Genomic DNA, 14430 nt, shown 5'->3' with positions numbered 1-14430 from the left:
CTGTCGCCCAGGCTGTCTTGATATACATTTAGTTGTATTTCTATCTCATTTGACTCAAAGGCCCACAAAGGAAGAGATAATTTTGCTTTCTTTACCATGACATTTTCAGACCCTGGCATCTGACACTTTGCCCTCAATAAACGTTGTGTGGGTGAGATAAAAGCTACCCGCTCAAGGTGTATTGACTGTCAACTGTACTGAGATTATCAAAACATGTGTCCTTTCCTTTTCTGTGATAAGGTGACTACACCCTGCACAATTGTTCTATGCACATATGCACTGTATAATTTGGCCGCAGTCTATTTTTCCCTATGTTTGTGACATCAAATGAAGGTAAGCCCCAATCTGTCAGTATGTGACATCATTTTTCCAAGACCACTTCACAACTCCACATACACAGAGGCCTTTGCTCTTAGCTTTTTGTACCAATCTCTGAAGCACTATGGCTAATCTTGAGACAGAAAAATTCCTGGTATAGTGATGAATCCCTTAAGCTGAGCAAAGAACCAGCGACAGTCGAGAACCCCCTTGAAGATGTTACTCAATTCCAAGAGAGGAATAAAAGGGGCCTATGGTTGCTCTCATTTAAACTTCTCAAGCCAGATGTTTGGCTTCTGCCTCTAAACATATCCTAGCAACATGACGTTGCAGATCTTTCCCTGAAGAGGTGGAGCCTATCTTTCCTTCTCTTGAAGCTGGACATTCTACATGTGGCTTGCTTCAGCCAATAGAACTTTAGTAAATGTGACATAAGCAGAGACTTGAATAGTACATTTTCTTTAGAGCTCACTCTCTTGCTGATATTTGGGCCCTGAGGCCACTGTGTGAAGAATCCCTGACTACTCTGCTGGAAGATAAAAGACAATGAGGAAAAAAGCTGATCTATTCCAGCTGAGGGCCCCCAAGGCTGACCGGTCTGCCAACTACCAGACATGTAAGTGAGATGACCATAGATTTTCCAATCTCAAATTAATGAACTGTCTAGCTCACTTACAGATTCATGAAAAACAAGTGATTTCCATTTTAAGCTACTAATTTTTGGAGTGGTTTTGTTATGCAGCAAAAGCTAACTGGTAACAGTCACAGATAGCATATTACTGCCTGTTTTCTCAAGGAGGCAAGTCAAATGTCTATAAATTGTGTGAGTTCAGCAGTGTCTGTGGAACTCACTAGTTTCCTAAGGATGTTTAAGGTATAAAAAGGGACTTTCTGATCCAAAGCTTGGGAATCACTGCATTCTAAAGCATTTTCAACTTAGAGATTTGCAAAACAAATTAGCAAATTAAAGATAATAAGAATCCACAAAGTAAATAAACACACACACACACACACACACACACACACACACATACAAAACTGCTGAAAATATGTTAAAGCCCCATCTTTCCCAAACTACCAACTCAAGGTGTATTGACTCTCAACTGTACTGAGATTATCAAAGCATGTGTCCTTCCCTTTTCTGTGATAAGATGACTACACCCTGCACAATTGTTCTATGCACATATACACTGTATAATTTGGCCACAGTCTGTTTTTCCCTATGTTTGTGACATCAAATGAAGGTAAGCCCCAACTTGTCAGTATGTGACATCATTTTTCCATGATGTCATGACCTCTTGGCATCATGCTCTTAACATTATAGTCATTGCTGAAACCCTACTCTGAATATAATGGTAAATGGTCTGTACAAGAACTTGGAGATTTGGGTCCTGGCCCTAAGTGTAGCATTTGCAAACTGCAGGACCTTTAACAAATCTAACTTGGTAAAATTTGATAAAATGAAAAATAGAATTTCTGCCCTGAAAGCCTTCTAGGTCATCTGTTCCTGTCACCTAGATAGAAATTTAGATGCTGCATCGATACTCATGTTCTGCATTATATTTTGTTTCTGATGGGCTGTATCAATGCTGCAGTGGCAAATCATTAATTCAGCTCAAAATCCTTTTTGAGGGCCACCATTATGCCAGGTACTATTTTGAAGAGTGTTAGGGATACCTTAATGAACAAGTCTTTATCCTCTAATATAGTCTTTAATATAGTGACTCTACATACCCTCTCATAATTAAGCTCCAATACAGAGCTTGTATTCCAGCAGTAGAGCTGGACAATAAATCTGAGAAGAAACAAATAGCTAATATAATGTCAGCTGGTAATAAGGACTGTGTAGTAAAACAGAGTAAAGGGCTAAAGTAGTGGTTCTTAAACTTCAGCTTGCATCAGAATCACATGGAAGATTTGTTAAAATCCAGATTTCTAGGCCCCATCCCCCAAGGTTTCTGATTCAGTGTTCTTAAGTAGGGAATTAGAATTTTCATTTCAAACAAATTCCCAGGTGATGCTGATACTGCTAGAGGGAGGACCATGTTTGGATAACCAGTGGGCTAAAGAATGATAAGAGGTTGTTCTATTGGATAAAATGGTAAGGTAAGGCCTCTCTGATCATCAGAGACCTCACTGAAGTGAGGGAGAAGCCACGTGAGAACCTGGGAAGACAGCTACAGTAGAGAGCACAGTGTGTGCAAAGGTCCTGAGGCAGAATTGAACTTGTGCTGGAGGAATAGCAAGGACTGGTTTTCTTAATACCCATTGCTATGTTAGCGAGCCATAGTCCTTGTCACCCATTACAGCATGAATTATGAGTGACTATCTTTCATGAGTTATGGCTTATAGCACCTACTAGGGTCCAGGGTCCAGCTTTCAGCTGAATTATTTTCCTGACTCACATTTAGAAACAGTTTTTTTTTCTTTTTTCTTAAAAGGGAACTTTGAGAATTAAGGAATTTGGGTTAAGTTAGTGGCCAAAACTCATAAGAGGAAACTGCTCATCTGTCACATTTCACTTGTTGAGGTCTACTGGTTTCGATTCTGACACCAAAACTGGTGTAACTTAAATTCACAGTCTTGCTTCTGGTTTGTAGGAGGATCTGTGATTTTTCAGGTTAAGACACATTATTTCAATGTCGCTCCTTTTGTATTTGTGGGTTTTCCCAGATAAAAATGGATTATGTTTTTTAGAATGTCTACATTTGGGAGATGTTTTTCACATTCTTTACCTCATTAGATCTTCATAATATAATTTCCTCATGCAGGAAAGACAGAAACTATCTACCCATACTACAGATGAGAAAACAGACTCAGAGAAATGAACACTCAGCAAACATTTCTTTTTGTTTCTCTTCACGTGGTCTTTCTTTGGATAGGCAACCTGATTTTCCCAAGCTCTTGCAAGTATGTGGTAAATCATGGAGCAGGGGATTGGAGACAAGCTCATAATCTTCCCATCACTGCCTCTCTTGAGGAAATTTGGTCTCAGGTCTCTGCCTGTCTCTTAGGTGCACTTTATTTTTGCCATCAATCATAAAACTGCATGGCTTTACTCAGAAAGAAGTAAAGGAAAAGAAACTTTGTGAGAAGAAAAGGAAAACTAATTTTTACTGATCACCCAAGATCCAGGCAATTTGCTGAACATTTTAAAACTATGATTTTAGTTAATCTCCTTAGCAAGGGGGAATCTCTTCATTTTATAGGTTAAAAAAAAAAAAAGCTGGGGCACAAGGAAGTTAGCTAATGGATCTTACGGCAATAATGTGACTGACTCAACATCAATTCTCACTGCCTGTGTTTCCTCTAACCTCAGCAGCCACAGAGCCTTTTTTCAGATACCACATTGAGGCCTAGAGGAAGAATCCAGGAGGAGGCATACAAATGATAAGAGTGAGACACTTCCTGGCAGGGACATGTTCATGTCAATCAATCCAACAGTGTGAATCAATATCATTTCTTTTATGGTCATAGATAAAGGGGTTAAAGAAAAGTAAGCTAGAGAAAATGTCCATCATCACCTTCAGAAATCTCAAATGTCTTTATATGAAGGATCATACTTTATTATGTATGATATTTCAAATTTCATGAATGGGTATAAGAATGAGTAGGAATCATTGAAAGAAATACCAGCAAAGAACATTTTATGACCTGAATTTACAGATCCTCTGGCCATTAATTAAAGCAAAAGTGATGGTCAACCTTTTGCTTTAAATTAAATTAATTTTGATTTAAATTAATTAAAGCAAAAGTGATGGTAAATTCAAGCTGTGGTTTATCCAAACTAATGAATAAAATCATCCTGTCATTTGACTTACCTGCCTAATAAAAAATGCATTAAAATCATCAGAAAAACAAAAAAGCTGCTTTTCTGCCTTCCCAAAAGAAGCTGCCTTTAGGAATGGAACTTAAATCCATACATTCCCAAGTGTCTTCATTTAGCTAATAATGAACACAAAAATATTGTTAAGAAGGAATAGGGAGCACTCCAGAAAATAAAGATCTTTATCTGATCATTAATGGGGGTAGAATTGCACTGACTTTTAGAATGTAAGAGCTGAGACAGATTTTAGGCATTACTTGGTCCTTGCATTTATGCATGTGTACAGGAGAACCAGGGAAGAAATGACAAAGGCAAGGGCACACAATTATGAGCATGGCTCAAATCAGATTGGCTCCAAATCCAACATTTGGAAATCTCTAGATGACTCTACAATAGTTTCTCCTGTATTGGAAGAAAAAAATATTCCTGGCATTCTCGAAGCTGGATGTTAGAGAAGGGCATTCAAACTTAAGAGATTAGTAGCGGTTAGGAAATGCTACAGGGAAAATATTCACTAAAAGTTCTCTCTAAGAACTGAGTTATTTCCTCCAAAAAAACACTGTTAAGGGCTTGAACTCATGGACGGGCAAAAGAGTCTGTCTCCAGAGACATTATTTCTGCAAGTCTGAATTCAGCCATGTGTTTGGGTTTGTGCTCAATCCTTGCCAAAGATAGGAGTGCTCCTTCTCTTTCAAAGAATTTGCATCCTGTTCAATAAGTAAGCACCACAACGTGAAAGATTTTTATTTTCTCGCCCACTCTTCTCTCTCGACAGCCTAGAATTGTCTGCCCAGGTAGTAGGCAGTTGTATTGTTACAAATATTTGTAAATATTTATTGAATAATTGATTTAGGAAAAAAGTATCTTTCAAGATAAAAATTTTGCCTTTGCCATTTTTGTGTTTTCAAATACCATAAATTATATTTTTCCAAAATAATAATGATGGATCACATTAATGAGCCACCTACTGTGTGCCAGGCACCGTGTGTAGCATTATCCATCTATTACCACAGATTCCTCATACCATCCCTATCAGGTAGGTACAATGGTTTTCTTCATTTCTACAGTTGTGGAAACTGAGGCTTAGAGAAGCTAAGTAACATGCTCAAATCACATGATTAGAAAGGACGCAAACCTGGAACTCAAATTATTGTTATTCATTATCTGGCATGAACTACATTGCAGGGTTTTGTTCTAAATCTGCATAATGAAAACTCAATCCTTTCTTGTACTAGCTGTAGATTTGTTTGCCTCAAATGTATCATTTATAGAAGTTCAAAATATGTTCTACAGTTGTGTTTGTAGGAGCTATGACTAGCATTTTACGCAATACTTTGTAAACAGGATAAGGCAAGTTTATTTGTGAAAGAGAGCTATAATATATGAAAATAGGAGGTGTCACTAAGACCCATCTTGCCCTCAAATTGAGAATTTCATTTAAAATAACTGACAAAGGCAAGCAAATCTGAAGTTATGACTGTCACTTCAGATATGACTCATTCAGGGATTTTAAGGATCTGAAAATAGCCCATAATCATAGCATTTTATTATATGTGTTGTTATATCTAGATATATTAAAGTTTATTCCATGAAAATGAGTAAGATTTACCTCATTCCCTTCCTTTAAAAAAGGATATTTTCCCCAAATATTTAACAATTACATTTCCATTTTTGATGCATATAAGCATAACTCAAAAAGGAAGGACACTGAATTGGCATGTTTTGGGAAGATGTGTCTTGAACCACTAGATTTCTTTTGTGATTGACAAAGAATTTAACAATATACTGTACTTCTGTGCACTCACAGTGAACATAGGTTATTACAGTCCAATTAGCAATTACTCAGCATGTCTTAAACCTATCTTTCAAACAGCTGAAAAGTAAGATTTAATCTGGAAATGTTTTGGTATTCTTACCTTCCTTTCAGCCATTCACCTTTTTCTTGATATACTTTAATTTATCAGCATCTTCATTTTTACATAGGCTTTAATATGTAGCTTAGTTCATAAAAATGATTTGCAGCTGCAGGCAGAGCTTGTAATTGCTACATAAGGCAACGGTAGTTTTGAATATTGATCATTTTGAGCTTTAATAGAATAACTCAGATAAATATATGACCATCAATTTCACTCCTATGCATATGCCCAGGAGATATGAGTGCGTGTACCACAAAAATAATTGTTCAAGAATGTTCATAGCTGCTTCATTTGTCATAGTCCCAAATTGGAAACAACCCAAATGTCCATCAATTGGAGAATGAATAAACAAATTGTGGCATATTCATATAACGTAATGTCAAACAGAAATTTTAAGAGAACAACTTTCTAATCCACACAATAATGTGGATTCACCTCAAAAACATTGAGTGAAAGAAACCAGACACAAGAGAAAACACACTGTATGATTCCATTTATATGAAGTATTTTCTATGTTGTTCTGGGAGGTGATTATACAGGGGCATGAACATGTAAAAATTCATTGAACTGAACATTTAGGTTTTATCTATTTTACTGTACTAAATTACACATCAACTTAAAAAATTATCACTCTGAACATTTATAGCCCAACATTTTGCTTTGAGCCTATATTCATATTAATGCATTTAGGTCTACTTTATTCTTTTACCTGTATTTATTTAAGGAAAAGATTATTTATGCTGTGATAGAGTTTGGCCCGGCTGACAGGTGTGTTAAGGGAGCACCAATTACTGCAACAAATCAACACTTGCCTTTCAGTGACTTAACACAAAAGAAGTTGATTACTTTTCTCGGTAATAGTTCAACATGAGTGCTCTAGTTCTCCTCCACATGGTGGTAAAAGACTCTTCCAGATTGTGGCTTACTAGTTCCCGCCCAGGGCCTCAGAATCTTCTACCTGTAGTTGGAAAACAAGGTAAGAGAATGTGATTAGGGAGTTTTCTAGCCAATGACATAACATGTTTTCTTTAGGGCTCTTCTGATCGTCCCGGTGCACAGTAGTTCCTTAAATGAAGGGCTAGAGAGATGTCTCATGACTGCCAGAACATGCTCACCTTTTCCAGCCTCATGTGCCTATCCAATAACTCCTTGTGTTGCATGCAGGTAGCATGATGAGCTGGTTAAGAGTATACCCTCTGTCACCCAGTACCCAGGCCTGAGCTTGAGCAGATTATTTGATCTTCCTAATTTTTAACATCTGGAAAATGAAGTACATAATAATACTGTTTCACAGGGTCCTCTGGCAAACTTTAAAAGATGTATGAAATATTTAGGACAGTACGTAAAACATAATACATGTCTAATACATGTTAGCTATGTTATGTACTCCTTGCTATAACCAGCCATGCCAGCATGTCTACTGCATCTCCAACATGCCCTATGCTTCTACCACAATAAAGGATCAAGTTTTTTCCCCATGGCCAGCTTCATGGGCATGTGATCTGGACAGCTGCATACAACCCATGCTGGGAAGGGCTTGGTGCTTGAGGCCTGGCACTTCATTTAATGCTCTGTTGTCACCGTAATGAAATTCCTAATAATTTTATCTTTGAACTTTTGTTTTGTAAATGAAGGCTGATGGGACAATGGAGCATGTGCATGAACAGAGGAAATACAGATAACATGCATAGCTGCTGCCATTCTTTACTTGTTCCACTCACACATAGCATTCTTGTTGCCCCATAAGCACAGAATCCCTGTGGGCACACAATGTGTGGGAGTTCTGCAAAACTCAAATTGAGTATGAGGTAAGCATGTCACATCAATGACTAAGTGAGGACACTGACAACCCCAAAATGGGGTTTGCCACGCTTTCCATTCCAACCAAAGCCTGATTTGAATGCAAAAAGAAGGTAACAACCAAGGAAACTTTCTCTGTCTTTTCTTATGTTAATACTTCTCTGTAACCACTTAGTTTGAAAATGATGACATAGAAGGAAAGAGAAAGATAAGGCAACCTATAGTTCCTTTTCCTTTCTGGTCTCCTTTATTCAAAAGTAAGCCAAAGGCAGAGTGTTGGTAAAAACGGGCATATATCAAGATATGAAATAAAAAAGTTAGTTTTGTGCTGTGAATTAGAGTGTACTTGAATTAGATAATTTTGACCCTGTCATCTTCCCCAAGAAGCTGTCTTTCCTGAAGGGTTGGAGTTCTTACCCAGCTGCTATGGACCAGAATCACTGGAGCCCTCATAGAAAAAATAAGTTCCAAGAACTAACAATGAACAGACAGAAGCAGAATCTCCAGGGCTAGGTCAGGTGGCTGCACAGCCAGCTTGAGAAGTAGCTGAATAAGCAAAACAATACCAGGGGTTCCAGTCCCAATACTCCCTGGCAAAATGTGGTCCATCTTTGATGGATTGGTTCAAGTGCCACCATTTTCCATGAAATCTTCCCTGATTTTTCCCTCCCCTCACGCCCACGTCTCTAACTCCCTGACCCCAAATCCTTCACTATATATTAATTATCTTTGACATCTAGGACATTCTAACTTGAACTTTGCTTCTCTGAAAAGACTCTGGTAACACTGAGGGCATAGCAGGGCAGGGACTAGGTTTAGGCAAGTGAGGCACTCATCCCTGGTGTGAAATTTAAGGGGATGCCAAAAAAGAAAAAAAAAAAAGCCTCAGTAAATCAGGAGAAATATTTTAATGCACTATTTTAAAAATCAAAATTAATGCAACAATTATTCATGATGAACAATACATCAAAATTTTAAATAAAGGCAGGCTCAGACCCTGCACTTGTATCACTGGCCTCACTCACTTCTGCCCAATCCGAGCCCTATGAGGTTCTGTTTCATTCATTTTCTTACACCAGTAGTTGCTAAATAAATAAATATATGAATGAATTGCTTTCTTGAACTGAGTCATCAGCTTAAAGGTATAGATCCTGGTAATGAGGATGTCTATGGTGAAATATGGGAATGGGTCCTGGAAACAGCCTTGGTGTGCCCTCTCAAGTCAGCTGGAACACATGACCACATAATCTAAAGTTTGAATAAATGTTCTTCCTTCAATCAAGTCATCATGACATTCTCCTCCATTGTCCTACCTTGTGTAAAACCAGAAAAATAAATGACATGATCTCTTGGTAACCCTTCTTTACCATCATCATGCAGCCTGTAGGACAGCCCTCAGAGGTCCTGTTCAAAATGGAACCCTAGTAGTTCACGTTATCATTAACATTGCAGTAAAACTGCCCTCCCCCATTGTTGTAGAACATTGTTACTACCACAGTCTCATGGATTGTTTGAATAATGCCACGCCCTTTATTTATTTCATGCTTTAATTGGCTCATTTCTGAATTTTCTGGGCAAAATGAGATCAGAAAGACAAAGCCCTTGAACAAAGAGAAGCAACAGTTTTTGTTACATTTCATTTTGTCCTCTGTATGTCTCCTTCTTAAATAATTTAGCTCCAAGTTATACTCAGGAAGAGAAAAAAATTAAAAGTTCCAGTAGGCCGAGAAGCCCATGATCCACCGTGTTGAAGGAAGATTTGCTTCACCTCACCACCCCCCAACCCCCTCCCGCCCCCCCGCGGTAATACTAAGCTGTTCACACGCTGTGAAGAAGACCCGAAGACTAGGTTGTCAACTGTTGGGGCCTACCTGCGCCAGACTTCTTCCTCAGTGGCCAGCTTTCTCACCCCCCGTTAGCCACCAGGGGGCCGCCTGCTTGGAACAAGTGGTGTAGACGCCACAGCTTTTCTCCAAACCAACCAAAACATTCCGGGGCAGCTTTGGAGCAAAGCCCAGGAACTTCCCTGCAAAGGAGAACAGCTCTCCAACTACAGAAGCCTGCAAGTCCTATGGTGCAGACTTATTAAGAGTAGAGAAGAAAGCACGGACTTCTCACCGAGGACCAAAGGGAAATGGGGTCTCTGGGGCCTGCAACTTTCTTAAAAGTGCATCAGTGAAACCCTGCTTATCCAGCGGGGTGGTTGTTAATGCTGTCAGCAGGGGTGGGGGGCCTCTCACCCCTTTCCCTGGGACGCTCAGAAGAAGCGAGAATAAAACATACATGTCACTGGCTGGAAATCTAGAGAACCTTCCAATAAATAACCTATACATTGTCAGGCAGCTGAGGATCCATATCGTCATAACTCTATTATACTGCGTGTTACACGAATAGATGTGAATATTAAATTATGATGTCGGAATTATTTTAATACTGTCTATAAGAAATTAATTGTACTCTGTTGTCAAAGTAGTTTTGTTGCAACTATAGTTCCTTATTGACTACCTTTTAGCTGAGTGAGGACTCGGTATTTCCCAAGTATCCTTCTAGCTCAGAAAGCAAGTCTCTTCCTGGTCTCCAGGACTTAAGGTCGGGGGCATTTGAGAGACCTATATTTGCCCGGGAAAGATCTCTTGAAGAGTATACATTATTTTTGTCTTCCTGGTTTTATCTATACATTTCCAGGGCAAAGACAAATTAATAGGGCGGCCGTTCTGGGACCTGAGGAGTGTCTCAGCCCTGTACGCGCCTCTCCCACGATATGCATAATGGCGGTGGGGGCGGGGGTGTCCTCCTTAAGGGCAACCCAGGCACGTCCCAAACTTCCATTCGTGGGGTGGCCGTGGTGGTTAAGAGAGCTGCCAGATGGTCGGACCAGCGGAGGCCCCAAGAAGAGCCAGAGCGCCCTGTATTCCCGACACGCGCCACAAGTGGTTTAGGAGCGGAGGGAGGAGCGCTGCGGCACGGGTCGGGCCGGTCGGGCCGGGCAAAGAAGGCCGAGACGTGCTCCTGGAAGACTCGCCCTCCGGTCCCGGTGTCACTCGTTCCCCATTCTTTCCTCTTCTCCAACTAGAGTAATGACGCCCAAACCCGCACCTATGCGCGCAGGCAATCGGGTGGGTGGACGCGCGGCCACCAAACCCACAGCACCGTCACCAACCCTGGGAGGGCACGGCCGGGATTAGGAGGAGGGGGAGCGCCCACACCTGGGGAGGCAGGTGCGGAGGCGGCCGGCCCGGGGACCTCGAGTGCGTAGGACTCGGGGTCGGGGTCGGGGTCGGCAAGCCGGGCGCTGTGAGCGCGTCGGAGCGCTGGCCCGGAGCCTGGCAGGGGGCGTCTGTACCGGCTGGGCAGCCCGGGGCGGTGGCGATGGCTGGCGGCGGCGGCGGGGTGTGCGCCAGGAGGCCATTTCCTCGCTGCGCCCCTGGCGGAGCCGGGTTTGCCTGCTCTTGGCCGCCGCCGCCACCGCCGCGCAAGTCGGACAGCCGTGAGGGCTGGAGGGGAAACCAGGTCACCGGTTCGCAGACGCGGCGCGGAGCAGGCGCCCCGGGCCCGGAGTAAGACAGCGCCCGGGAAGCGGGCCGGGGCGGGCCGGGCACGCGGGGGACCCGGAGAGGCGGGGACTCTGGTGCCCCAGCCGCAGTAGCTTCCTACGCCTATAAAAGTGGAGAGACCGGGGAGGTGCGGCGCGGCCCTGGCTGCGGCCGCCTCTCTTCGCCCAAGGAGTTGACATTTTGCAGGACTCGCGCGACGCCCAGTCGCCGGCGCTCCCCGGGACCCCGCCGCCGGGAGGAGGGGGCGGAGGAGGGTGGAGACTGCGGGGCTTGGCCAAGGAAGGCGCACATCCTCGGGCGGGCGGCCGTGACGCGGCGGGGATTAACTTTGCATGAATAATGTGAGTGCGCTTGGAAAAGAGACCTCCTGCTCCGCGGGCTCGGGGCAAGAGCCCGCAGGCTACCTTCCCCGGGCAGGGGCGCTCAACCCAACCGGCTCCAGGGCACTGGTAATTTGGCTAGAGGACCGCGCGGAGGCAGCGGGGTGAGAGGAGGAGGGGGCGACAGTTCCAACTGTCCACAGGGTGGGCGGGATGGTGACGGAGCGTCGCAAGAACCCGGAGGGGTGCGGGCGGCTAAGCCGAGCGCGCGCGGGCGGGCAGGCGGGTGAGCGTGGGTGGTGGGGGTGTCATCAGCCTGATTACCTGCCTCCGCGGGGCTTCTGCGCCCCGGATCTGGGAGGAGGTGCCCTCTCGTGTTCGGGCACCGCGCGGCGGCAGGCTGGGAGCTACGGAGTGGACAGTGGTGGAACAGGGTGGCCGGGCTCTGTTCCAATCGCAGCGGCTCTGTTCCTCAAACCCCAAGCCCAGCTGTTGACATGTTCCTTGTGAAATGGAGTTTGGCATCCTCAGCGCCGAACCCAGTGGAAGTTTCCATGATGAGGAAGTTGTGTGACATGGGGGTTCGGAAAAGGTTGGCAGGCCAGGGGGGAGGGTTAAAGGGACTGTGGGTCTCCCATCCCCCCTTTTTCGCCTGCCCCGGAACTCCCGGGCTTGGAAAGGAGAATTATCCTGGATGTTGGCGTGCGCCGTGGCCGGTGCCTGGCGACTGGGCTTCTCTCCGCCTCCTGGGGGCTTGGCGGGGATTTCGCTAGCCTCCTGGGTCGCGCTCCTTCGCTTTGCTTCTCTTGGCGCAGCATCTTCCTCTGGGTCTCCTCGAGTTGGTTGTGATACCAATTGTGCCAACTGTGTGACCTCCACCCCCTCGGAGAAGGACTCATTTGGGGGAATTTTCATTCTTAGTGGATTTTGCCCTTCTTAGCGGCAGTTGTCACTTTGGGGGAGGATTTCCCAATGACCATTGTGGGATTATTATTAGTGTTAATTCTTAAGCCTTCTTATTTATTTTAAGGAGGGGGAGGGAGAAAATGAGATGAATTTTTTTTAAATGTACAAGTTTCCCCAAATGGAAAATTTTAAAAGAAGGATCTAGAAACATAACAATTCATAAAGTGAGTCAAAGAAAGGAAAGAGTTTGCATGAACAGCCAAGTTCAGATTCTCCATTCTCCTTTGTCCACATAAATTTAGAATTTTTGAAGATTCAAACACTGTGTAATCAGTAAATATATTTGAAATACCTTCTTCCTCAGCACATTATTGGTCTTGGGTACTAGTGAGATTCAGTTTTAAAGACCTGTGTGGAAGTTCAAGAAATTAAGCATTCCTTGCACAGTGTATTAATATCAAGCACAGCAGTTTATATAATGATAAATGTATTAGGTAATGTAGACCTGTTGGGCAATCTTCACATTATTTGGCTTTAGTTTAGTATGCTTATTTAAATTGTAAGAATGTATAGCATGCAATGCACTGCAAAGAAATAAAAATTGCATTTTAACGTGTTCATGATTCATTCTGAATATTCAGTGACTGACCTGCTCCCCAATTCACTTCTGCTTAATTCTTTCTAATTCCGAAATCAGTCAGAGGCTAGGAAACAATGAAAAACGTGTTTCAGTGCAAAGTATTTTAAGCAGTTGATGTTTTTAGGATGTTTTCATGCCAGGTGGCTAAGTGTTTTAATTGAGTCAAACAGAAATCCAGTACCAAGTGATTTGTTTGGAGTGTTTTATACAAAGACATTGGTGAACGATCATTTATAATTTGAGCATGTTAAAGAAATACTAACAGAATCTATTTTTACCTGATCTCAGAGGTTTATTATATATTGGAAGTGAGACCATCTGCTAGTAAATACAGTTTGGCTTTATTTTATAGCCAGTGAAAAATAAATAATACTGAGTATAGCTACAGAACTGGTTTTTTAAAGTGAAATAATTCCTGTTGGCATTACAATGCAAAGGTATACTTTTATTGACATTGGAATATTGTTACATAAAGCAACTGACATTATGTAGAGGAATGAATATTCCATGTATCTCCTTTCAGTTTCTTTGTAGTAAATTCTGCCATAATTAGAGATGAATTAAGACAACTTTTTAATCCATTATCTTTGGGAAAGGTGATTTCTTAAAATCGCCTTAAAAGCAGAGAAAGCTGTGGATTCCTTTCCTCTCCTGGGGTTTTTGCAGTTGTTTAAAGCATGAGTTGTGTGGAGCCACAAATGGTATTGCATGTTTCTTTTTTTAGTAAGCCCATCTTTTTGATGGAAATCAGAGTAAAGGTGATTGGTTTCTTCGCCCTGGTCTTCTCATTCTAGTGTAAGATTACGTGTCACCTTCTTAGAAAGCCCTTCCCTGACCACTTGAGCAAAGGCGGTCCCTCATTCCTTTTCAGACCCATCACACTGGTTTTTCTCTTTGTTTGTTTGTTTTGTTCTTCTTTTTCTTTCCTTTATTGTATTTGCAATCTGAATTGTTCATTTCAATTGATGCTTGTTGATCGCCTGTATCCTTGCCTAGAATATCGAATCCATGAGCACAGGACTCTTGACTGCCTCACTCACTCTTATTTTCCAGCATCTAGAACAATACTTGGCACACAGTAGGTGCTGGATAACTCTTTGGTGAATAAATTAATGATTGTGTCCAAATATTATGTTCTCAAAAATACCTG

The 14430-nt window shown here is 42.3% G+C and overlaps 1 protein-coding gene and 1 long non-coding RNA gene across 51 annotated transcripts in view, besides 1 other annotated feature; one reads left to right on the top strand and one right to left on the bottom strand.

Annotated features, from left to right (window-relative positions):
• Positions 1–6538: 6538 nt before the first annotated feature.
• Positions 6539–12463, bottom strand: THRB-AS1 (THRB antisense RNA 1). Its single transcript, NR_046244.1, has 2 exons — positions 12059–12463; positions 6539–7018 (listed from the first exon to the last, which is right to left on the bottom strand). It is a non-coding gene; the product is annotated as a THRB antisense RNA 1 (long non-coding RNA).
• Positions 9717–9922: a silencer, noted in NCBI's record as "fragment chr3:24538119-24538324 (GRCh37/hg19 assembly coordinates)". NCBI's record gives its function as "represses an EF-1alpha promoter that drives an FKBP-Casp9 reporter gene in an ReSE screen in HepG2 liver carcinoma cells {active_cell/tissue: HepG2}" and the evidence as "EXISTENCE:reporter gene assay evidence [ECO:0000049][PMID:32094911]".
• THRB (thyroid hormone receptor beta) overlaps positions 10842–14430 on the top strand; it is a 378556-nt gene continuing 374967 nt past the window's right edge. For 17 of the 50 annotated variants that reach the window (NM_001354715.2, NM_001354713.2, XM_047448813.1 and 14 more), the window contains exon 1: positions 11700–11863. The gene's annotated coding sequence lies outside the window, so the exon portion shown is untranslated. Of the gene's footprint in view, positions 11418–11699; positions 11899–12075; positions 12327–14430 lie in introns of those variants that run through there. The other 33 variants (NM_001354714.2, NM_001374827.1, NM_001354711.2 and 30 more) reach the window with 6 other exon arrangements.

The sequence above is a fragment of the Homo sapiens genome, chromosome 3, assembly GCF_000001405.40.
Source record: "Homo sapiens chromosome 3, GRCh38.p14 Primary Assembly".
Lineage (NCBI taxonomy): Eukaryota > Metazoa > Chordata > Mammalia > Primates > Hominidae > Homo > Homo sapiens.
The sequence above is the reverse complement of the archived record's forward strand: the minus strand, read 5'-3'. Positions and strand labels throughout refer to the sequence as shown.